This window comes from Homo sapiens, chromosome 20, assembly GCF_000001405.40.
Source record: "Homo sapiens chromosome 20, GRCh38.p14 Primary Assembly".
Classification (NCBI taxonomy): Eukaryota; Metazoa; Chordata; class Mammalia; order Primates; family Hominidae; genus Homo; species Homo sapiens.
The window spans coordinates 32,586,334-32,610,501 of record NC_000020.11 but is presented as its reverse complement, the minus strand read 5'-3'; the positions used below and the strand labels follow the sequence as shown (position 1 = coordinate 32,610,501).

General features: G+C 53.5%; 1 long non-coding RNA gene across 1 annotated transcript, besides 8 other annotated features; it reads right to left on the bottom strand.

Annotated features, from left to right (window-relative positions):
• Positions 1,609–23,023, bottom strand: NOL4L-DT (NOL4L divergent transcript). Its single transcript, NR_034152.1, has 3 exons — positions 22,946–23,023; positions 8,806–8,989; positions 1,609–2,192 (listed from the first exon to the last, which is right to left on the bottom strand). It is a non-coding gene; the product is annotated as an NOL4L divergent transcript (long non-coding RNA).
• Positions 4,237–4,403: a silencer, noted in NCBI's record as "fragment chr20:31193901-31194067 (GRCh37/hg19 assembly coordinates)". NCBI's record gives its function as "represses an EF-1alpha promoter that drives an FKBP-Casp9 reporter gene in an ReSE screen in K562 erythroleukemia cells {active_cell/tissue: K562}" and the evidence as "EXISTENCE:reporter gene assay evidence [ECO:0000049][PMID:32094911]".
• Positions 4,746–5,245: an enhancer, noted in NCBI's record as "H3K4me1 hESC enhancer chr20:31193059-31193558 (GRCh37/hg19 assembly coordinates)". NCBI's record gives its function as "activates a minimal SCP1, AML or CMV promoter by ChIP-STARR-seq in naive H9 embryonic stem cells {active_cell/tissue: H9 hESC(naive)}" and the evidence as "EXISTENCE:reporter gene assay evidence [ECO:0000049][PMID:30033119]".
• Positions 7,192–7,241: a silencer, noted in NCBI's record as "silent region_12803". NCBI's record gives its function as "represses an Ori minimal core promoter by ATAC-STARR-seq in GM12878 lymphoblastoid cells {active_cell/tissue: GM12878}" and the evidence as "EXISTENCE:reporter gene assay evidence [ECO:0000049][PMID:35858748]".
• Positions 8,250–8,751: an enhancer, noted in NCBI's record as "H3K4me1 hESC enhancer chr20:31189553-31190054 (GRCh37/hg19 assembly coordinates)". NCBI's record gives its function as "activates a minimal SCP1, AML or CMV promoter by ChIP-STARR-seq in naive H9 embryonic stem cells {active_cell/tissue: H9 hESC(naive)}" and the evidence as "EXISTENCE:reporter gene assay evidence [ECO:0000049][PMID:30033119]".
• Positions 11,800–12,301: an enhancer, noted in NCBI's record as "H3K4me1 hESC enhancer chr20:31186003-31186504 (GRCh37/hg19 assembly coordinates)". NCBI's record gives its function as "activates a minimal SCP1, AML or CMV promoter by ChIP-STARR-seq in primed H9 embryonic stem cells {active_cell/tissue: H9 hESC(primed)}" and the evidence as "EXISTENCE:reporter gene assay evidence [ECO:0000049][PMID:30033119]".
• Positions 12,319–12,819: an enhancer, noted in NCBI's record as "H3K4me1 hESC enhancer chr20:31185485-31185985 (GRCh37/hg19 assembly coordinates)". NCBI's record gives its function as "activates a minimal SCP1, AML or CMV promoter by ChIP-STARR-seq in naive and primed H9 embryonic stem cells {active_cell/tissue: H9 hESC(naive and primed)}" and the evidence as "EXISTENCE:reporter gene assay evidence [ECO:0000049][PMID:30033119]".
• Positions 12,820–13,320: an enhancer, noted in NCBI's record as "H3K4me1 hESC enhancer chr20:31184984-31185484 (GRCh37/hg19 assembly coordinates)". NCBI's record gives its function as "activates a minimal SCP1, AML or CMV promoter by ChIP-STARR-seq in naive H9 embryonic stem cells {active_cell/tissue: H9 hESC(naive)}" and the evidence as "EXISTENCE:reporter gene assay evidence [ECO:0000049][PMID:30033119]".
• Positions 13,386–13,445: a silencer, noted in NCBI's record as "silent region_12802". NCBI's record gives its function as "represses an Ori minimal core promoter by ATAC-STARR-seq in GM12878 lymphoblastoid cells {active_cell/tissue: GM12878}" and the evidence as "EXISTENCE:reporter gene assay evidence [ECO:0000049][PMID:35858748]".
• Positions 23,024–24,168: the final 1,145 nt, after the last annotated feature.

The window sequence follows — 24,168 nt, the reverse complement described above, 5'->3', positions numbered from 1 at the left end:
CTCAAGCAGGCAAGGATGAGACTGGACCATGGGCCCAGAGGCCCAGAGGCCCCAGGCCAGGAACCCAACCTTGCTGGAATCTGTTACATGGGACTACAGGAATCCTGAGCACCTGTTCACCTGTGATACTTAGTCTCCCTTGTTTGCCCCCTTCCACCTCTTCTACTTAGATTTTCTTTCTTCCCAGGACCGAAAGATGGGGATGAGGGATAAAGGTTGTATTTGAAAGGCTGGGGTGAGGCTGGTTGAACTCTGAGTGCTAGTTATGGTGTAGGCTGAAGAGCACTGGACGCAGAGTCAAGTGAGCTGAGCCAGGCTCCTGCTGTGGTTCTGCCTCTGGTTTGTTGTGTGACCTTGGGCAAGTGACTTACCCTCTCTGAACCTCAACTGCTGCTTTTATACAATAAGCGGGGTAGACGCTCATGTTCTCATTCCACAGATATTTATTAATCATCTACTGAGTGTCAGGCCCTGTGCTGGGCCCTGAGGAGACTTCAGGGAACAAGATCCATGGGGTGCTTACACCCCAGTGAAGGGAGAGGGCATTGACAATAGACAAGCCCACAATACATGTGATGCCTGATATTTTTGTTAAATACCATGAAAGACCTTAAAGGGCCCTCAGATGGAGAGTGAGGGGGGTGAGAGCAGGGCTGCTTGAGACAGGTGGTCGGGGGGCCTCTGAGGAGGTGACCCTTGAGCTGGGGCGCGAGTAGGAGCGGGAGCCAGCCACACAAGGATTAGGGGAAGAGTCCCTGGCAGAGGCACCAGCCAGGGCAAAAGGCCTGTGGAGGGAGGGAATGAGCATGGCCATCTGGGAGCAGCGGGAGTGACCCACAGGCAGTGAGCCGGGGAGGGGACAGGAGTAGTTGGAGTCCCAGCCGCAGAGAGCAGGGCATCACGGCCACCTGCTCTAGACTCTGGGAAGGTTCTAGCAGGGGCAACCTGGCCCAACTTCCCCGTGGGCTCTAGGCCCCCGGCGGGTAATGGCCCAGCCAGTCAGCCCCGACCCCAGCAAATCGGGCTTCCCCCAGATGCCAATGGCCCAGCTCTAGGGAGACCAGGGTTCCAGTTGTTCCCCAGCCGGCCCCATTCATGGGCTCACTCACTGGGCTTTGCCCTGGAGGTCACTGGGCTGAGCCTAAACCTGGGGCTCCTGACCCAGCGGGGCCCCACCTGGCTTAGCTATTAATAAGTAGAGCGTGGCTGAGTCCCAGGGTGCACAGAGAGGGCCCCTCAGACCAGCAGACCCAGGTCTAGCCTGTTTCTGCCTCTCCTTGTTTTGTGGCCTTGGACTTAGCACTTAGCTTCCCCGAGCCTCAGTTTACTCTCCTGGGAAAGGGTTTAGGAAAACTTCTCCCTAGCTCAGCCCCACCCACCCCGCTCTCCCCTGGTTCACTCAACTCTGGCCTCACTTACACACAGAGCTCAGCCCTGTCTCGGGGCCTTTGCCATTTACTGCTTCCTCCACCTGGAATACTCTTCCTCCACACACGCTCAGTCCTTCACATCACTGGGTCTCAGCTCAATGCCACCTACTCAGAGAGACCACCGGGATCACCGCAGTCAGAATGGAACCACCCCTCACTCCATGTGTCTGAACTGTGCTTTATGTCTCATAGAATGTCGATTTTATTTCTTTATTCAGCAATTATTTCCTCCATGCCTGGCACTGTCCTCGGTGCTGGGGACAGGGCAAGGAACAGAATAGCCAGCTCCTGCCTGCCCTTCCCAGAGGGCACATCCTCATGGATGAGACAGACAAAGAAAGCAGGGAGAGGGGTGAGGAACTGAGGGGACTATGGCAATTTTAGACTTGGTGGCAGGGAGGCTGCACAGAGCTGGTGACATCTGAGCAGGGATCTGAAGGAGAGAGGCAGAGTTTGGGGATCTGTGGAAGGAGTCTGGGGAGGAGGTATTTGCCTCCCTGGCTGGAAGCTGCCCTCCAGGGGTGAGGGCAAAGCATGTCTTCTTGTTCCATTCTTGTCCCCAGCACATAGTAGGTGCTTCATAACACAGTTGTCACTGCTGTTCCTGTGGGCCCTTGGAGGATTATACACTGCCCGAGGTCCTTCTCGCATGGGGCCTGTACAAGTGGGCCCCGGGAAGCACAGTGCTGTGAGGAGAGTCCGCCAGGCAGCCTGTGAGGGTGGCGTGGAGAACAGGCCACCTCCAGGGAGATGGGGGCAGATCTGCAGGGGAGGAAGAGACAGGGGAGGGGGCTGAGGCCGGGTCTCCAGGGGCCTTCACGCCACGCAGGGACTCTGGACATGATCCCGAGGGCCACCGGCAGCCACTGCAGGGCTCAGGGGAGGGGGTGACATAATTAGATCCAGGTTTTTAAAGGCCTTTCTGACATCCATTGTGGGGAATGGGGTGGGTCTGAGTGGGGCCACAGGCCGGAGGAAGGCAGGGCCAGTGAGAGCCGTGGACAGCAGTGAAGGCAGGGAGGCCACAGGCCCCGCCAAGGGACTGGCAGGCATAGGCTGCGTTGCCATAGCCGCGCCCAGGCCCTGAGAGCTCTCACCCTGCATGCCCTCACTGTGCCCCTCCTGGGCACTCTTTCACCAAGAGCGAGCAGCCTGGCTCCCGGCTGCAGGCCAGGCCCTATTCTAGGCCCGGGCAAGGCGGCGTGAACACAGGCCCAAAGCCCTGCCCTCCTGGGAGAACCTACGACAAACATGGTAAACAGATGAAATAGGTGGTGTGTGAGGACAGCACAGAAGAGAGAAGGGGACAGGTGGGGAAGGGCCAGGCAGTGGTCAGGATGGTAGACAGGGCACGGGCTGGGCCTCCCCAGAAGGAGACTCCTACTCCAGGCCCTGAAAGAAGGTAGGATGTTTCTGCTGTTGCTGCTAGGGGAAGAACTTTCCAGGAGGCAAACACCCCTGGCAGGAGCTACAGTGGGGTCAGCCTGGCAGGGGAGGGAGACTGGGCAGGAGAAGCCATGGTCGGGGGTGTGCAGGCTCAAAGAAGATCTCTATGAGGACTGGGCTTCTCCGAGTGACACAGGAGCCACTGCTGGGCCTGAGCAGAGGGACGGGCCTGACTCTCCTGGGACGGGGCCCCTCTGGCCGCCGGGTGGAGAGTAGACTGCAGGCGGCATGGGCAGAAGCCCCCAGAACAGGGAGGCAGTGGAGTGAAGATGCAGGTGAGATGGTGGAGGCTGGCCCAGGGGAGGCTGAGGGGTTGTGAGCAGCTCTGGGGACTGAGATGTGTTTGGGGTCAGAGTCCATGGGATTCACTGATGCAGTGATGTGGGATGTAAGACAGAGAGAGACACAGAGAGTCAGAGACAGAGACAGAGAGTCAGAAACAGAGAGAGACAGAGAGTCAGAGACAGAGACAGAGAATCAGAGACAGAGAGTCAGAGACAGAGACAGAAGGAGACAGAGGGACATAGAGTCAGAGACAGAAGGAGACAGAGAGGGACACAGTCAGAGACAGAGAGTCAGACAGAATCAGAGACAGAGGGAGACAGAGTCAGAGACAGAGTGTTAGAGACGGGGGAGACAGAGAGTCAAAGACAGAGACAGAGAGTCAGAGACAGAGGGACACAGAGTGTCTGAACCAAAGACAGTCAGAGACAGAGGGAGATAGAGAGTCAGAGACAGAGGGAGACAGAGACAGAGGGACAGAGAATCAGAGACAGAGAGTCAGACAGAATCAGAGACAGAGGGAGACAGAGAGTTAGAGACAGAGAGTCAGAGTGTCAGAGACGGAGGAGACAGAGAGTCAAAGTCAGAGACAGAGAGAGACAGAGGGAGACAGAGATTCAGAGACAGACACAGAGAGTCAGAGACAGGGACACAGAGAGTCAGAGACAAAGACAGAGACTCAGAGACAGAGTCAGAGACAGAGACAGAGAGTCAGAGACAGAGAGAGAGAGTCAGAGACAGAGACAGAGAGTCAGAGTCAGAGACAGAGAGAGAGACAGAGATAAGACAGAGGCAGAGTCAGAGTGACAGAGTCAGAGGGAGAGAGACAGAGAGACAAAGTCAGAAAGACAGAGGCAGAGAGGGAGACAGACGCAGAGAGAAAGAATTAGAGACAGATGAGAGAGAGTTAGAGATGGACGGGGTAAAGGGTTGAGGATGACAGCCAGTGTTCCGGCCTGGGCCAGGGGAGAATGCAGTCGCCATTCTCTGGGATGAGGAGGGTTGAGGGTGGAACCGATCTATGTGCAAATATCAGGAGATCCTGGAGAAGCCCGGAGGAGCTGTGCAGGAGGAAGTGGATGTGTGGCTTTGGAGCTCAGGGGGCATGTCCAGGTTGTTGATATCAGTGTGGAGGGCAGCAGAGAATCGGTCTTTAAAGTCAGCCAGGGAGGAAGGCAGATGGAAAGGGACAGCAGCCCAGGGATTGAGCCCACGGCCCCCAGCCTGAGAGGTGAGGGAGAGATTGGCGAAGAGGCAGAAAATGGACTGAGAAGGGGCAGCCAGGGAACTGGCAGGGAGGGTTCTTCTCACAACCAGGGGAGGACAGCGTTTGAAGGAGCAGCAGGTGTTAGCTGCATCTGATGCTACTGACAGGTCCAGATAGGGAGGTCTGAGAGATGGCATTGGGCAGGTTTAGAAACGCGAAGTTTCTTCATTTCCTCGGGAGGGGGAGGGGAGACCCTGTGGGGAGTGGATTGAAGGGAGAAGAGGGGAGAGAGACTCTGGAGACAGCGAGAATAGGTGTGTTTTCAGGGCGTTCCAGCGAAGGGCTGGAGAAAAACCGGACAGCTGGAGAAAAACGGGACAGCAGAGAAGGGAGGGGTGCTCAGAGAAGGGTTCTTTTAAAATTCAAGAAAAACTAGCACTTTGTATGGGGAGAGTTTCTGGAGCAAAGTCTCAGGCATGACAAGAGGGAGGGGGTCACTGAATCCTTACCACGTCCCTGGACAGTGAGCCATATTATCATCCCCACTTTATAGATATGGAAACCTCAGCCCAGCGAGGTGGGTTCTCCTGCCCAAGGTCACACAGCTGGGCAGTGGTGGCGAGTCCCTGCAACTCTTCCCGGGCCTGGGCTGTTATCCTGTTTGACAGATTACTAGTTACTAGTCTCAGTTCACAGAGCAGGTTAGTGGCTAAGTTAGGAGGTCGATTTAACAGGCTGTAGGGGGAGAGGCTGTGGGAGGAGCCAGGAGTGACTCCTGGTGCTCAGCACAGTGGTGCCTCTCCCCGGGCTGGGAACTGAGAGAGGAACAGGTTTTCAGAGCTGAGCTCAGTCACGGGTGTGCATGACATTCCCCAACTGTGAGATGAGGCCGATCGCAGAGCTGACCTCACGGAGATCCTGTGAGACTCGGGAGAGCTGTGGTCAGTCCCAGCACACAGCAAATGCCGGGCAGCGCGTGTTTGTTCTCATTTCTCAGTCTAGCTAGTTGAGTGCACAGTGGGACTTCCAGGCACCAGTGTGCACAAGCAGCTGACTCCTGGGTGAGACTGGTAGAATGAGAAGGTTGATGGGAAGTTCAGGAAGACATGGACCTTCGGAGGTCCTTCCTGGAGGAGCCACACAGCTCTGAGTTTAGTCCTGGGCTTGGAGGCCCAGCCTTCAGGGGACCTTCAGGAGCCCTTAAGTAGGTCCAAAGGTGGGGCCTCAGGTGGGTGAGAAAGGTCCTGGGAGAGCCTTCCCTTCTCAAAGCCTGAGGTCTTCATCTGTAGGATGGGTGTTCTGATTCTCGCTTTTGTGGAGATGCGGTGACTATGAAATGTGCTCACAGGTGTCCAGCAATTGCTCAGGGTAGATGGGCTGAATGAACCCTGGGACTGAAAGTCAGGAGGGCTGGGCACACTCCCTGCTCTGCCCTAATTTGCTGTGTGAACTTGGACACGTAGCCTAACCTCTCTGGGATTTAGCTGTAAAGCCTGGATGGTGTAAGGCCCCCTGCAGCATGTGCACTTCATCGTTATTTAGAGCTTCCTGATTCTATTAGGTGGTAACACCTTCCCTGCCCGCCCCGCTACACCTGAGTTTTTCTGCTACAAAGTCCTGCTTCTTGCCAGGGCAGGAGAGGGGCTGGAGAAAGTAGAATGCAGGTCACCTGGGCCTGAAGGGTTCCACTCTGGGGCAGCCCTGCCCCAGGCACATTCTGAGGTTCCTAGAGTGGCATCTTGGGTGATCCATTCATTGATCTGGGACAGAGAAGCTGTGGGTCCCATTTCTCATCCATCTTACAGATGAGCAAACTGAGATTCAGGGGAAACATGACTCACCTGCCCTCAGAGCCTCCTCTTGCCAAAACTCCAGGCCACCCCTGAGGAGCTGGCTGTCGGGAGGCAGGGATCAGACCCCTCAAGGGCATCCACAGGCCTCCGACCCTGGCTCCTTCACTAATTCATTTGGCCCATGGGTGGCACCTCCCATCCGCCAGGCTCTATCCTGGGCACTGGGGACACCAAGAAGACTCAGGTGGACTCCTGGCCTCCTCTAGTGGAAAAGACATATGTGAACAGAAACCAAAAGCAATTGAGAGGGGGCAGGATGGGAAGGTGGCTCACGCCAGTAATCCCAGCACTTTGGAAGGCCAAGGTGGGCAGATGGCTTGAGCCCAGGAGTTTGAGACCAGCCTGGGAAACATGGCAAAACCCCATTTTTACAAAAAATACAAAAAAAAAAAATTAGCTCGGCATGGTGGCACACTCCTGTAGTTCCAGCTATTCAGGAGGCTAAGGTGGGAGGATCACTTGAGCCTGGGAGGTCGGGGCCTCAGTAAGCTATGATTGCACCACTGCACTCCAGCCTTAGCAACAGGGTGAAACCCTGTCTCAAAAATAAATAAATAAATAAAATAGAAAGAAATTGAGAGGGGCTGGGGACACTGGGGAGGGAGTGATTCATTCTGATCTAAGGATCTGGGGGTGCTTCCTGGACGAGGAGCACCCACGATGGCTCTGCAACGCCAAGGGTAACTGTGACCATCCTGGGCTTCAGGGCACAGTCTCACCTTCCCAGTCCCCAGTGAGGCAAGTCCTACCCTTAGCCCCACTTTACAGATGAGAAGACTGAAGATCAGAGAGCTGAAGTGATGTGTCCAGGGTCACTTGGCTTGCGAGAGGGGCCTGAGCTCATTCCCAAGGTCCTGGCAGGGATCAGTCCCAAGACCAACTGTCCCCAGGCCAAGGAGGCAAGGAAAGACCCCCGCCCCGGGGGCCCCCAACCCAGGAGGCCCAGGCCTTCCTCCGGCCTGGCGTCCCCGATGCCCAGTTTCACTTCCCGAAACACAGGCCTATTTTGGATCCTGCTGACTTCCTTTCTCACCCGTGGCCGTTCAGGCTCTGAGGACTGGGCAACTGTAGGATGGATCTGGTGCCCCTGGGCCTTTCCCAACCTGCTCTTACACCACCCTGGAACGGGTGGAACTGCCAGGGCTGCCACCGCCTTCTCCCGGCCCAGCCCGCCATGGCCCCTCAGGGAGGGTACCAACCGCAGGGCACCTGGCAGGGCCCCTGCCACACGCCAGCTCAGAGGTCCTGCTCCCAGCCCATGCCAGCCTGAGCCGGACAGAGCAGGAGGCTCTGTCCAAACCCCAGCCCCAGAGTGTCCTGGCCTTGTGACCTCGAGCAATTTATTTTCCTCCATGAGCCTCAGTTTCCTTCTCTGTGACAGGAGATGAGGGTGATCTCCCACCTAGAATTGTTAGGAAAACCACTCAAGTTCAACAGCATGTCATTACCAAGCATCTACCATGCTCCAGGCCTGTTTTGGGCATGGGCCACTCAAAGAACCTTGTCCTCAGGAAGCTGAAATCCTAATGGGGGACAGAGCTGGAATAAACACTATGAATAAGTTCATTAAATGGTACATTGGAAAGTGACGCACATTTTGGAGAAAATGGAGCCGAGAAAGCATGTGTGTGTGACGGAAGGAGATGTGGGGCCATGTTAAACGGGGTGGTTAGGGAGGCCTCCTGGGAAGGTGGCATCTGACAACAGGAAGGAGAAGATGGAGCTGGCCCTGCAGACATCTGAGGAAGGGCACTCCAGGCAGGGGGCCCAGCATGTACAGACGCCCGCCCGGAGGCAGGAATGCCAAGAAGTTGTGAGTGTGCCGCAGCCAGGGGTTGGGCGAGAGCCTTGGGGACACATGGCCAGAATGGGCAGGGCGACCAGAGCATGAGGCCCTCCAGGGCCAGGCTCAGGACTTTATTCTGAGTGAGGTGGGGAGCCACAGGGGCTTTGGAGTAGGGGAGGGGTGCGATCTGACTCTTGTTTCAGCCGTTTCCCTCTGGCTGTGTTATGGAGGGTGGGTGGCAGGGCCAGGTTGGAAGTCAGGTGCAGGGAGAGGTTGCTAGGGGTGTCAGCAATGGGGCGGTGAGATGTGGTCAGATTCCGGTTATATTTTGAAGGTGGAGCCAAAGGGATTTGCTGATGGATCAGATGTAAGGGGTGAGAGAAAAGGGCCAGGGGCAGAGATGACTCCACGGCTTTTGGCCTGACCCTCCCAAGTCTCCTGACTCCCATCCCACGCTCCTGCAGGCCAGTCAGTCCCCAGTAGCCAGAGGGGTCTCTTGAGAACCCAAGCCAGATGGTGTCTAGACCTTTCCAATCCAGTGGCTCCCCATGGCTGTGGTCTGGAGTCCACGCTCCTTGCTTGGCCTGGCCCCAGCCCACCTCCCCAGTCGCTCTTAAGCCCACTGGCCTCAGCTCATACTGTGTGCCAGCCTCGGGGCCTTTCCATTTGCTACGCTGGGTTCCAGTCTGTTGCTCAACCACTCGGTGGCCCTGGAGATGACACATCTTTTGGGGCGCCCTCAGTTTCTCCGTATGTAAAAGGGTAAGTTTAGACCCCTTGAGCCCTAAAGAGAGTCCTTACGTTTGCACGCTTTGGGGATTTACAATCCATGAAGAAGCCGCCCTTCTCCGCCCTTCTCTTGCCTGGTGAGACCTTGGGCAAGGTGCTTCATGCTCCCTGCTCTCTGCAGTCTTATCCACCTTCTGGGGTCTCTCTCAGGTACTTCCGGCTGGAAAAGGAGATATGTGTTCCTGAGATCATGTTCCTGGAGGAGGGTAAAGAAAGATTCAGACAGGCTGGGCACAGTGGCTCATGCCCGTAATCCCAGCCACTCGGGAGGCTGAGGTGGGTGGATCACCTGACGTCAGGAGTTCAACACCAGCCTGGCCAACATGGTGAAACCCCACCTCTACTAAATACAAAAAAATTAGCTGGGCGTTGTGGCGCATGCCTGTAATCCCAGCTACTTGGGAGGCTGAAACAGGAGAATCACTTGAACCCGGGAGGCAGAGGTTTTAGTGAGCTGAGATTGCACCATTGCACTCCAGCCTGGGCAACAAGAGCGAAACTCCACCTCAAAACAAAAACAAAAGATTCAGACAGACCTGGGTGGGCTGGGAAAGTTCCCTTCCCCACCCTGAGCCTCAGTTTCCTCGTTTGTAGCATGGTGCTCATGATCACTGAGCAGTCTGGTGACCACAGAGTAGGATGCCTGGTCCACTCAGTCATTCAACAAGCATCCACTGAGTGCCTGCCAGTGGGCAGGGCCTGGGCTGGGTGCTGCATACAGTGGGGACCAAAGATTCAGCCTTGCCGTCACGGAGCTAGCCCCTACAGGCACCAGGCAAATGATGTGATTGACTAACAGGGCACACCTCAGGCCTGGTTTCCTGGGGAGACAGGGCTGTACCTGCACTTCCCACCTATGCCTGCTGTCCAAGTTCTCCCCAGCCCGCCAGCCCCAGCCCAGGACCTCTCTCCAGGACTCCACTCCCCAGGGCCAACTCAACTCTGTCTTCACCCTTTGGTTCCTGGGCTCTTCAGAGCAAGTGACCCCAAGAGCAGGCTCGGGCATGCGCCCTGTTTCTGCAAGTCACAGCCTGTGGGACTTAGACAAGACACTGGCCTTAGCCTTGGTTTTCACACTTGTAAAGTGGGAGAATAATAGAGCCTGCTTTTTTTTTTTTTTTTTTTTTTTTTTGACGGAGTCTCGTTCTGTCGCCCAGGCTAGAGTGCACTGGTGTGATCTTGGCTCACTGTAACCTCCGCCTCCTGGGTTCAAGCAATTCTCCTATCTCAGCCTCCCACGTAGCTGGGATTACAGGCACCCGCCACCACGTCCAACTAATTTTTGTATTTTTAGTAGACAAGGGGTTTCTCTACGTTGGCCAAACTGGTCTTAACTCCTGACCTCAAGTGATCTGCCCACCTCGACCTCCCAAAGTGCTGGAATTACAGGCATGAACCGCCATGCCCGGCCTTGAACCTGATTTTTATAGGGCACTTGTGAGGATTCAGTGGGTTGTGGAGTAGCAGTGGGCTCAAAGAACAGTCGCTGTGATCTTTGAAGCCCTTCTCTGACATTTTCTCCAGTGGCCCTGAGGGCACAAAGCTGAGAGCTGGTACTTCTTACGCCAGAGCCTTGGTACAGAGAGAGGACTTAGTCACTCCCCTTGTTCCTGGCCAGGTCAGCTCCAGAGTTCATGTTTATTAGAAACTGTCTCAGACCTTCCCTGCTCTGGGTACTTTGTTCTATTGACTAGTTAACCCAGAATTCCCCCATTTCACAGATGAGGAAACTGAGGTACAGAGAGGTTAAAAGCACCCGAGCAAGGTCACACAGCTGGTGAGTGGCAGAGCTGGGGTTCTAACCCAGACTGCCTGGCACTATCCTGCTACCCAAATCCTTAGAGTGCTTCTGCCAACATTATCCACTCCCACGGGTTGCCCTGTGGTGTGATCCATCATCTGAAGCCTCAGGGTCATCCAGGGTCAAGGCCAGGAATCCTCTGCCTCAGCCTAGCAGGAGAAAGGTATCAGAGTTCAAAAACTACAGATTCCCAGCCGAGTGCGGTCGTTCCCGCCTGTGATTACAGCTACTCAGGAGGCCAAGGCGGGAGGATCGCTTGAGCTTAGGAGTTCAAGACCAGCCTGGGCAACATAGCAAGGCCCTGTCTTTACAAAAAAATTTAAAAAATTATCCAGGCATGGTGGTGCATGCCTATAGCCCCAGCTACATGGGAGGCTGAGGCAGGAGGATCGCTTGAACCTGGAAGTTGGAGGTTGCAGTGAGCTGCGATCACACCACCCTGGGCAACAGAGCCAGAAACCATCCATTTATTTTATTTTATTTATTATTATTACTATTTTTGAGACGGAGTCTCGCTCTGTCGCCCAGGCTGGAGTGCAGTGGCACGATCTCGGCTTACTACAAGCTCCACCTCCCGGGTTCACGCCATTCTCCTGCCTCACCCTCCCGAGTAGCTGGGACTACAGGCGCCCGCCACCACGCCCGCCTAATTTTTTGTATTTTTAGTAGAGACGGAATTTCACCGTGTTAGCCAGGATGGTCTCGATCTCCTGACCTCGTGATCCGCCCGCCTCAGCCTCCCAAAGTGTTAGGATTACAGGCATGAGCCACTGTGCCTGGCCAAAACCATCAATTTAAAAAGAAAAAAGAATTATAGATTCCTATTGTCCCCACCTTGCTATTGACTGGCTGAGAACACCCTAGGCTGATCCCTGCCCTCTGTGCCTGTTCCTGCCTTTGTCAGATGGAGAGCAGAAAGCCCTTCCAGCTTCATCACCCCTGGGGTCATACCTCAGCCCTGTCCTGTGCCTGCCATGTGAGCCTTCCTCCAGCCAGCATCCCTCTGGGGCTGTTTTCCTTGTCTGGCAAATGGAGCTGACACTACCTGCCCCTGTGGAGCCCTCAGCTGGCTGGGAGAGCCCCCGAGAGAGAGCGCAGACGTGGGTGTGCACTGTAAACAGCACGCACCCCTCGGGGCTCCCCGTGTCTCCCAGCCCAACTTCTGAAGGCAGGGCCTCTCATCACCTCAGCTCCCAGGGAAGGGTGGAGCCCCTCAGGTCCTCAGCGGCCTCCCCTCTTCCTCACCACCAGGTCTGCTCTGCATAGGTGCCTGGAGGGAGGAGCTTTTGTGAGCAGAGACAGCCCTATACTGGTCCCAAAGAATGGGGAGGTCGTCTGCCCATCCATTCAACGGCTGAGCATCTCCTCTGTGCCAGGCCCAGTGCTGGGTGTCAGGGGCACCACAGGGACAAAGACAGATCCAGTCTCTGACCTCATAGAATTCACAGCCAGGGGTGCGGTGGACAGTTCTCAATCAAGGAACAACATAAATGTGAAATGCAGGGGTGGTTAAGTATTACAAAGGAGGGGCATAGGACTCTGTGAGAGTGCGTCCTGGAGGAGGGGTCTGGGGGTGTTCAGGAGGTGATGATGGAGCTGAGTGCTGTTAAGGATGAGTTGGAGCTAATCAGGTGAATTTGGCCGGGCGCAGTGGCTCACACCTGTGATCCCAGCAATTTGGGAGGTTGAAGCGGGTGGATCACTTGAGCTCAGGAATTCGACACCAGACTGGCCAACATGTGAAACCCCGTTTCTACTAAAAATACAAAAATTAGCCAGGCGAGGTGGTGGTGGGCGCCTGTAGTCCCAGCTACCTGGGAGGCTGAGGCAGGAGAATCGGTTGAACCCAGGAGGTGGAGGTTGCAGTGAGTCAAGATTACACCACTGCACTCCAGCCTGGGCAACAGAGCAAGACTCCATCTAAAAAAAAATAGGTGAATTTGTGGTAAGCGGGGCAAGGGCTTGTGCAAAGGTCCTGGGGTGGGAGGGAGCTGGAAAATTCCAGGAAGCAAAGGAAGGTCAGTGTATCTGAACTGCCCAGTGATGGCCAGGGAGGCGAGCAGGGGTCAGACCTCACTGGGCCGGTTGTGGATTTCACAGAGCCAAGAGAGAAGAATCTCAAAACCATCCAAACTCCTCATGGCACAGATGGGGAAACCGAGGCCCCGTTGGGTAAGGGACATGGCCAAAGTCAGAGAAAGTCGGGGGCAGACCCAGGGCTAGGACCCAGGCTTCCTAACTTCTGCCCAGGCCATTTTTTGCATCTGGGTAGTGGCCTGAGAAGAGGGGGAGAAAACCAACATGACTTAGTGCCTGCAGTGTGGCTGGAGTGCTGCGTGTACCTGCACATGCACACACTTCACCGCTGGGCCCCTGCACCTGAGACTAAGGCCTTGGCCCTAGAATCCCTTCTAAAAAGAGAGGACAGGGAACCTGCAGAGGTGATCTGATGCAGCCCCCTGCCACTGACTCAAGGCCTCACCCCATTGTTGCCTTTGAAATGCTCTGTAGCAAATAGGAATTATAATCCCCATTTTGTGGACGAGCAAACCGAGGGAGGGAAAAAATGAGGCAGTGACCCAAAGTCCCAAGGGATCTGTCAGTCAAAGCTGTCTTGACTCCTAGCTTAGTGCTCTTTCCTAGGCCAAGCACAGCCCAGGTTTTAGCCATCTGGCAGGGCAGAAGTCTCTCCTGCTGTCTAACTGAAATCTCTCTTGCTTTCATATGTTAGCTTCTTATTTGGCTTGCTGAAGATATGGAGAAGCTCCGTGTTCCACCTCTTGGTCCCTGACTATCCATCTTGAAGGGGACTGAGCTGGGGGTAGGAGACTCAGGGACTTCCCCCACCACAACACCACAAACCTGAACCCAGGGTGTGAGTTTGCTGGGGTGGGGTGGGGAAGGTGGCAGGCCATTTGCCAGTGAGCCTTTCCTCTGAGGGAAGGTTCTGGGAAACCTCTAGAAGAATTCCCCAGGGGTGAAGCCCTTCTGGATCACCCCAAGGACAGACACTCTCCCTGGGATGCAGCTGTCCAGGGGCTGAGCTCATGGCCAGTGGCTGGCAGAACTCAAGGCCTCAGATCCACCCCCATGGCTACAGGCAGCCTTGCGTCTCCTCCACATACATGCCTGTACAACTTGCTTGTCAGAAACCACTCAACAAAATCCAACTTATAGAGCCAATATGAAAATGCAGGGAAAATTCCTCTAAACAAAAACCACCTTTTTTTCAAGTCAGGGAGGAGGAAGGCCCAACATCTGGGCTTCCACAGGAGCAGGCCCCATGTGGGAGGTCAGCCCAGCCTGGACCTGGTATTTAATTGGCATCTTTCTCCAGAGAGAACCACAGCTCTCCAAGATGTCAAGGCTCAGTGTGTCTGCTATTTCCTGAGAAATCTAAGGTTATAGAGATGCTGGTGGCAATTTACCGGGGGCCTACTATGTGCCGGGCACTGTGCTAAGTGCTTTTTTTTTTTTTTGAGACGGAGTCTCGCTCTGTTGCCCAGGCTGGAGTACAGTGGCTCTTGGCTCACTGCACCCTGCGCCTCCTGGGTTCAAGCGATTCTCCTGCCTTAGCCTCCCAAGTAGCTGGGATTACAGGTGCCCACCACCATGCCTGGCTAATTTTTGTATTTTTAGTAGAGATGGGGGTTCACCATGTTGGCCAGGCTGGTTTCGAACTCCTGGCCTCAAGTGATCTTCCCACATCGGCCTCCCAAAGTGCTGGGATTACAGAAATGAGCTGCCGTCCCCAGCCTGTGCTAAGTGCTTTTATGTGGACCACTTCACTTAAACCCTGACAACAACCCCATAAAGGAGGTGCTGTTATTGTCAACACCTTATGGATGAGGACATTGAAACTCAGAGGGGCTAAGTCACTCAGTCAAGGTCACACAGCTGGTGAGAGCGGGCACAAGACTCAAATGCAGGCAGTCTGGCTCCAGAGCCCTCACTCTTAACGTTTTGGGCCTGAGGCAGTGGGATGTAGACAGGAGGGCACTGGGGGACACAAGGCTGGACTGAGGGCCCAGATCTGCCATCAAGTGCCTGGATGAGTCTCTGTCCCTTTCTGGGCCTCAGTTTCCCCATTCCTAAAATGGACCAGATGACCTCAAACCGTTGCCTAGGCCAGCTTTGGCATTCTCTCCCTTTCAGGGAGGGTTGAAGTGCTATTATTAGCACGTGAATGCCTCTGAGAAGTCCTGCAGTAAAGAAAACCCAGTGAGTGGTTAACTGGAAAAGGTGACCAGCAAAAATAGTTACCTAATGGTTTGCAAGGATTTCAGGAATATGAACTTGGATTGAGTGCCCTGTCGGTAAGTCAGTCAGTTGACAACTATTTATTAATAGGCCCTTTGGGAGATGAAAAATGAACAAGACATGACCCTGTCTTCGAGTAGCTCCTTGTCAGGGAAGAAGGTAGCCAGGTGGAAGAGAATAACCACATCAGGTGGTCACTGCATGAAGGAGACCAGCCAGGGAGCTTGAGGTGCCAGGAGAGAACAGATATCTTACCCTGCCTAGGGGTCAAGGGAAACATGGCAGACGGAGTGACAATCAAATGGGATCTTGAAGGATGAGTAGGAGTTTTTCAGGAAGAGAATTGGTGGGGAAGGGCAGTCCCAGTGATTGAGGGGAACTGCATATACAGGTGATCCCCAACTTAACAAGGGATCAACTCACAATTTTTCGACTTTACGATGGTGCCAAAGTGATATGCATTCAGCATACTCCTTGACTACAAAGGAGTTACATCCAGGTAAACCCACTGTTAGAATAAGTTGGAAATGCGGTAAGTTAAAAGCGTATTTTTGCTGGGTGCTGTGGCTCACACTTGTAATCATAGCACTTTGGGAGGCCAATGTGGGTGGATCGCTTGGGCCCAGGAATTTGAGACCAGCCTGGGCAACATGGCAAAACCCTATCTCTACAAAAAATACAAAAATTAGCCAGGCATGATGGCGCACACCTGTGGTCACAGCTACTTGGGAGGCTGAGGCAGGAGTATCGCTTGAGCTCAGGAGGTGGAGGCTGTAGTGAGCCGTGATCTCACCACTGCACTTCAGCCTGGGCAACAGAGTGAGACCCTATCTCAAAAAACAAAACAAAACAAACAAAACCAACCAACTGAACAAACAAACAAAAAAATGCACTTTTGACTGACTTACAATGATATTTTCAACTTACAATGGGTTTATCAGGACTTAGCCACATTGTAAGTCAAGGAGCATCCGAACAAGTCTGAACGCAGTCTTGCTGTTCAGGGGAATGGAAGGTTCAGTGTGGTTGGCACAGAGAGAAGTAGAGGCTGGAACAAGATAGTGAAAGGCCTTGAATGCCACACCAAGGAGTTTGAACTTTATTCTGGTGTACCAGAAGGGAAAACCTAGAGGCCAGGAGTGCAGAGAGGAGGCTGGTACAGCCATCTGGGCCAGACCAGAGGGGGTCTGACTGCACTGAACAAATGGTACATCCGTCAGGGCTCATGGGGTTGCAGGAAATCCAGCACTGAGAGACCTAAGTGAAGAAGAAAAGGGCCTTTAGGTGTGGTTGAATCCAGGGGCTCAAAGGGTGTTGTCAGAAATCTTTTTTTTTGAGATGGAGTCTCGCTCTGTCACCCAGCCTGGAGTACAATGGCGTGATCTTGGCTCACTGCAACCTCTGCCTCCCAGGTTCAGGTGATTCGCCTGCCTCAGCCTCCCGAGTGGCTGGGATTACAGGCATGCTCCACCACACCCGGCTAATTTTTGTATTTTTAGTAGAGACGGGGTTTTGCCATATTGGCCAGGCTGGTCTCGAACTCCTGACCTCAGGTGATCCGCCTGCCTCGGCCTCCCAAAGTGCTGGGATTACAGGCGTGAGCCACCGCACCCGGCCGGTGTTCTCAGAAATCTGGTCACACTCACGGTGGTTGGGGCATGGGATGGTTTCAGTGGCCTAGTCATTCAATGCTTTCAGTGGTCAGGTCAGTATGGCTCCAGCAACATGCTCTGAATATGAAGGAGGCGGTTTCTCAAAGGGATTTCAAGATGCTGTTACCAGGAGAAGAAAGTTGCTATGCAGGTAAAAGCAGCAGCCCATCTTGGTGGATGGCGAGTGCCGCGGACTTGAGAGGAGGATGGGCACTTTCCCAGCCCAGGCCCCCGGCGGTTCTGAGGCTGAGGCATGTAACTCAGGGCTGGTGTGGTCAGGGCAGGCTTCATGGAGGAAATGGCCTGGAAGGAAGACCTGAGCAATTAGGTAGGGTCTGGGTAGACAGAGCGGGCATTGCAGGAGAAGGGGCCAAGAGAACAGAGGTGCAGAGGTGAGAATGAGCCGTAAGTGTTTGGCTGCCTGTGACATGCCAGGTCCAGAGAGCTGGTAGAGGGAGGTGAGGCTGAAGCTAGATGTTAGAGGTTCTCGAAGGCCAGGCACACTCTGGCCTGACTAGCAGGCCTCTTACAATATATAGGTCAGGGGGAAACAGTGGCTTCATTGCTCAGCAGCCTCCCATGGCTCCCTCCCCATGTCCCACCAGGGAGGCCCAAGGCTTAGCCAAGCATTCAGAGCCCCAGCATGCCCACTGCTGGGCCCTGGTGCTCTCCCAGGTGGGCATGCCCACCACAGTGCAAACAGATCGCTCCCTTTTCCCTCCAGACCTCCACTCGGCTGCTTCTCTGGCCTAAAACACACTCACCCTTTGGTATCTCCATCTACCCGCTGAAGGCCGGTTAAAGGTCTCAGCCTTAAGGAAGCCTCCCATGGAAAGCACCTACTCTCAGTTTTCAACTCCCAGAGCTCTTCCTTTTTATTTTTATTTATTATTTATTTATTTATTTATTTTTGAGATGGGATCTCACTCTGTCACCCAGGCTGGAATGCAGTGGCCACTGAAAGCACTCCATGCCCCCCTGACCACTATGATTGTGACCAGATTTCTGACAATCGTAGCTCACTGCAGCCTCCAACTCCTGGGCTCAAGCAATCTTCCTGCCTCAGCCTCTTGAGTAGCTGGAACTACAGGTGCACACCACCACACCCCACTAATTTTTAAAATTTTTTGTAGAGATGGGGTCTCACTATGTTGCCCAGGCTGGTCTCAAGCTCCTGGCCTAAAGTAAACCTCCTACCTTGGCCTCCCAAAGCCATGAGATTATAGGTATGAGCCACGGTGCCCAGCCAAGAGCTTTTTTTTAGTGTTTTTTTTTTTCTTTTTTCTTTTTTTTTGAGACAAGACTGGAGTGCAATGGCATGATCTCAGCTCGCTGCAACCTCTGTTTCCCAGGCTCAAGCGATTCTCCTGCCTCAGCCTCCCGAGTAGCTGGGATTACAGGCGTGCACCACCACACCTGGCTAATTTTTGTATTTTTAGTAGAGATGGGGTTTCACCATGTTGGCCAGGCTGGTCTTAACTCCTGACCTGAAATGATCCACCCACCTCAGCCTCCCAAAGTGCTGGGATTACAGGTGTGAGCCACCGTGCCAGGCCCGTTTTTTTTTTTTTTTTTTTTTTAATGCCCATTGGCCCAGCCAGCCTGAGTGGGGCGGGATGGCAGTAATGTGCCCTGGCTTTAGAGCCAGGCAAATCTGGGTGCAAACCCTCCTCTTGCCCCACCACTAGCTGTGCGACCTCAGCACATTTAAGCCCTGTATGAGGCTTAAATGTGGTTATAGGTACGAAGTTCTTGGCACATAGTAGGCCCTCATGCAGCTCTCACCATTTTGGTTATTTGAAATATGTCCACTTCAACCCTCTATGAGCTCAGGCCAGGCAGGAACCACACTTGTTTTTTTTTCTGCCTGCACTGCCTGGCACACAGAAGGGGACTGACTTGTAAGGGCTGACCTATCAATTTTCCTGGGCTGGGCAGACCCAGGCTCCCCTCCCCTCCCTGCCTGGGTGAGGCTGGGGTAGGCCCGAGGGCCCTACACCTGCTCCCTGAGACTGACCCAGCAGGCTGCTGGGTGCCAGCATCCAGCATCAATAAATTACTGGTGAGTTCAGGTGACGGGACAGATCCAGTGTCAGCTTCCTTTGTGTCCTGCAGAGAGGCTCAGGCCCTGGGATCCCCCTTCACAGGCCTCCCCCAACAAGGGCTCCATCAAAATGACAGAGTTGCCCACCTACTGTGTGCCAGGCCCCACCTAGGCACTTTGCACCGTATTTGATTGACGCTTCACAAAGATTCTGCAAAGCAGGCACTAGCTCCGTTTTACAGATGAGGAAACCGAGGCTTAATGAAGGGAAGTGACTTGCCAAAGACAAAATGAATATAAGCAAAAAAGGCCCCTGCCTCTCCAATTCAGCAGAAATCTTCCTGGATCTCATTGCAGTGTATAGTCAAAATACACACACACACACACACACACACACACACACACACACACACACACACTCTCTCTCTCTCTCTCTCTCTCTCAGGGATTTTCATTCATTCATTTATTCAGTAAACACATATGGGACACCTACTACGTGTCAGGTATTGTTCTGGATGTTGGAGATACTGCAGTGAACAGGACAGAGCTCTGCCCTCTAGGAATGTACATTCCAGTAGGTGAGATGAACAGAGACAGGAAACAAATACATATGTATTATAAAGGAAGGTGGCACTGAGTCCATGAGGATGAATCAAGTAAGGAACGGGAATGGAGGGCCACTGGGGGACTTTTAAGAAGGGCAGTCAAGGAAGGCTCCTCAGGGGAGGTGACATTTGAATGAAATCCCTCGACAAATTAGTTCTCTTATCTCTTTATGCTTTAGTTTCTGGAAAAAAGGGGATGCTGGACTCGAGCGGGTCTCAAACTCTGCAAGGTGGACAGAATTTTTTCCCACTCAGTCGTAATTCCACAGGCAGTGTGGCGCGGGCCACTGCAGGAGTAGAGACACTTTTCTCCTCCCCTCCACTTTGCCCAGTGCTCCATCTTCTGGTCCAAAGGACCCTTAGGGCACTTAGAGTGGGACTTCTCGAAGGTGCTGATCTGGGCGCCCCGCTCCCCTGCCATGTGTTCTCATGGCAACTTTTTTTTTCTGAGACAGAGTCTCACTCTGTTGCCCAGGTTGGAGTGAAGTGGTATGATCTCGGATCACTGCAACCTCTGCCCGCTGGGTTCAAGCAATTCTCCTGCCTCAGCCTGCGGAGTAGCTGGGATTACCGGTGCCCACCACCACACCTGGCTAATTTTTGTATTTTTAGTGGGCGGGGGCGGGTTTCACCATATGGGCCAGGCTGGTCTCGAACTCCTGACCTCAGGTGATCTGCCCACCTTGGCCTCTCAAAATGTTGGGATTACAGGCGTGAGCCACCACACCCAGCCTCATGGCAACTTTTTGTTTTTAATTCTAAACCCATTTGTTATGATTTTTTTTTTCTTTTTTGAGACAGTCTCACTTTGTCTCCCAGGCTGGAGTGCAGTGGCACAATCATAGCTCACTGTAGCCTCTACCTCCAGGGCTCAGGCAATCCTTCCACCTCAGCCTCCCAAGTAGCTGGGACTACAGGTGCACACCACCACCGCTGGCTAATTTTTTTGTACTTTTTTGTAGACACGGGGTTTGGACATTTTGTCCAGGCTGGTCTTGAATTCCTGGGCTCAAGCAATCCACCCACCTTGGTCTCCCAAAGTGCTGGGATTACAGGGGTGAGCCACTGTGCCTGGCCTGTCATGATCTTTTGAAAGTCAGCTAGTCCCTGAGCTTCATGGGTCAGGTCCCTCTTGTTTATTACTGTATTCCAAACACCAAGCATGGTGGCTGACATACAGAAGATGCCCAAATAAACGTCTGAATGATGGATGGGCATAATGACAATAGGAGCTAGCATTTGTTGAGTGCTTATTCTCACGACAGCCCTGTGAGTTAGGGATAATTATTAATATTCCCATTTTATCGGCATTGAACACTGAGGCTTAGAGAGATTAAGGGACTCAGTCACTCAACAGCAGAGCCTGTTAGGAGAAGCACAATAAATGCTGATGGATGGATTGATTATGGAGGAAGCATAGTAGCATGGTGGAAAATGCTGTAGACTTCAGTCTAGCACCTGCTTTTTGAGGATAAGCCCATTCATTCATTCATTCATTCATTTGGTTGGTTGGTTGCTTATTTATCCATTTATTCAATAACGTTTAAGCCTTAGCTCCTGTGCTGGGCACTGGTCGACACAGGTAATGAGGCCATCGTGAAATGCTGTGGTCAGAGCTGGGAGGGGGAAAGCCCAAGGCTCTATGAGTGACCAGAGAAAGCCCCTGACCCAACCTGAGAGGTCAGGAGGCCTTTCTAGAGAGGTGGGCGTACAGCAGCGGCTCAGCATGGCTGGCAGACTGCAGGGGGATGCTATAGAATAGGGGGATGGCAGGTGGTGGCACAAGCCCTTGATAGAAGGGGCACCAGCACCCAGTGGTGGTAACTACCTCTCCCCAAGGCTCTGGGGCCTCTCTGCTCTTCCTGGCCCTTGCGTGGACAGGCCTCTGTGGGAGCCTGAGTCACTCTGCCCCACCCCAGGCCTGGAACTTCCTGTGGCACAGTCAGGGCCACCTCACTGTCAAGTTGCAGGCATCCCCGCTCATCTGGGCCCAGGGTCAGAGCTCAGTGAAAGGCAGGTGATCTGGGCCAAATCAGGCAAAGGCCAGGTACCTGGTTCTGTCCTGCGGCCCTGAGCCTCTTTGCTCCTGTGGGACTCAGTTTACCCATCTATCAGAGGCAGGGTTTGGACTGTATACTCTGAGAACCCTTCATCACCAAGCTCTTGTGACCCATTACATTACTATCTGTATTCAGAGTGGACGTGAGCCCTGGGGGCTTGGACTCCCTGTGCTTCAACTCCAGTCTCCCTTGGACACCTGGACGAAGTGTGGAAAAAAAAAAAAATCCAGAGGCCGGGCATGGTGGCTCATGCCTGTAATCCCAGCACTTTGGGAGTCCAAGGCGGGAGAATCACTTGAGCCCAGGAGTGATTACGTTACTATCTGTATTCAGAGAGGACGTGAGCCCTGGGGGCTTGGACTCCCTGTGCTTCAACTCCAGTCTCCCTTGGACACCTGGACGAAGTGTGGAAAAAAAAAAAAAAATCCAGAGGCCGGGCATAGTGGCTCATGCCTGTAATCCCAGCACTTTGGGAGCCCAAGGCGGGAGAATCACTTGAGTCCAGCCTGGGCAACAAAGAGAGACTCTGTCTCTACAAAAAATAATTAAAAAAAAAATAGCTGCGTGTGGTGGTGCATGCCTGTGGTCCCAGCTACTGAGGAGGCTGAGGTGGGAGGATCACTTGAGCCTGGGAGGTAGAGACTCCAGTGAGCAGCAATTGCACCACAGCACTCAGCCTGGGAGACAGAGCGAGACCCTGTCTCAAAATTTTTAAAAATGCAGAGGATCTCCTGGCCTTTGATTCATGGGGCAGCCTACTTTTTCCTTTGGCAGGTGTCTGGAATGGAAATCAAAAAAGAGCAGCTGCCCCCTGGGACCGTGATTGCATCCCCCCAGGAGTTGGGCATTGTGGGAGACTTACCCCACACCCCACCCAGCATGCCCCTCCTAAAGGACCCCAGTGACACGGATAGGCTGAAGACCCAGGGTCTGTTTCTGCAAAAGTGGGGATGGGCCGCAGTAGGCTGTTCTCACTCCTTGGCTGTTCCACTCTCCCAGGAGCCCTTGGGGCAAGAGGCTGGGACGTGCCTGGTGCAGTGAGCTGTCACACAGTAGGGACACCTCCAGGCCTCTGACCTCCAAGACCACAGACCTCTGGACCCCTGCAGCTGCCCTCCTCTCCTCACTTCTTCTCTACCCCACAGTCCTGCTCGTTTAAAACTCGCCAGTAGCTCCCATAGCAGCTGGAATGCCATCCAAAGTATTTCCCAGGGTCTTCAAGACTCCTGCCCTCCAACCCCTCCTCCCTCACTTCAGTCTCACCACACTGGACACCTTCCAGCTTCTAGAAAATGCCAATCTCCTTCCACCTTGGGGCTTTTGCCCTTGCTCTTCCCTCATCCTGGAATGCAGGAACAGCATGCCTTGGCACCTGTCATTTAAGTCACTGCTCAGATGCTACCTCCTTAGAGGGGCCTTCCCTGATCCCCCTAAGAAAAGCAGCCCCTTCTTTGCATTATTTGCTATCACAGCTCTCTCTTTCCTTCGTGGCCCATTCCCCGGGCTGTTGTGATCAATAGCTGGTTTGTTCAATAGCCATCTTCCATACCCATTGGTGCACTCCCGTAGGGCAGGGACCTTGGGGATCCCATGACCATATCCCAAGCCCCTGCTGCACAATGGCTGCTAAACAAATGTTTGTTGAATGAATGAAGCACAAAAAGTGCCAACAATGCCTGTCTTCCTCCTTGAATACTTCGAGGCCCCATGAGGGAGAAAATGGCACTTACTGGGCACCCGTCACAGCTCAGGCACTCTCATCCTGTTGAATCTCTACATCTGTGACATCCTGTCCCGCTATACAGATGATGAAGTAGGGGCTCAGTGACCTGCCTGAGGTTACCCAGCAAAGGGTGGAATGATGGCTTCATTCCATTGTGAAGTAGCCAAGTGGGACCTGTGAGCATGAAGAATGCCACGCCAAATAATCATCAGGATTCACTTCCAAATCTGACTCCACCCGAAGCCCATGTTCTTTTCATTATACTATACATTCTGCTGTGCCAGAACTCAGCCCAAGATTGACAACCAGGTTTTTAGCTTCTGAAAGGCAGGCAAAGACCCAGCCTGGGTGGAGAGGTGGTCCGGCTTAGTGGTTATTGAAGTGGGTCCTGGAACTGGACAGAGAGACCAGGGCTCACACAAGGACCCCACCACCCAGGCACAGGGCATATTTGCCACAGTTATCATTACCATTGCCAGGCTAGAGCATCTCTGCTCTCAGGAAGAGTGTGCTGGAAGGATAACCGTCAAGGGACACATGGAAAAAGTCAGGGTCTGAGCTTCTTAATCACAGAAGCCCCTGCGCCCCTGGGGCTGGCCTTTGGGTAGTGCCTTCCCCGCTCTGAGTGGTCACCTCTTAAAAACGGGCATGCATACCAGCATAGATCCAAAAAGAGCTCTTGAGAAGATAAAGAGGAAAAATGACTGTGGAGTTGTTGGTGTATATAAAGTAACATGAAATGTAAATTATCTAAAAATAATCTCCCATGTGAAATGCAGAGAGAGGTTGGGGCTTGGGAGACCTCTAGGGTTCTTTCAGCATTTACTGGCACCTACTGTGTGCCAGGTGTTGTGCTAGGGCCTGTGCATATGAGGATGGGTCAGATATGGCCCTGAGCATCTGGAGCTCCCTGTCTACTGGGGGAAGTGAGCCAGGTATACACAGCGTGGGGCTCTCTCCGAGCGCGGTGAAAGGGGAAGAGTTTGTGTGTGATATGGCAGCAGCAGCCAGATGCACATGAGCTGAAACCCACCCCTCCTTCCTGCATGACCTTGAGCAGGTCAGGCCACCTCTCCAAGCCCCAGGTCTTCGTCTGTAAAATGGAGCCATTCCCTCTGCCTCTCAGAGTTGCCAGGACATGGCACGTAGTAGGTCCTGGGGTGGGGGACTTTGGGATGGGAGTAGACAGTAGTTCCTACGCAGGAAACGGTCCTGCACTAGACAAAGTCT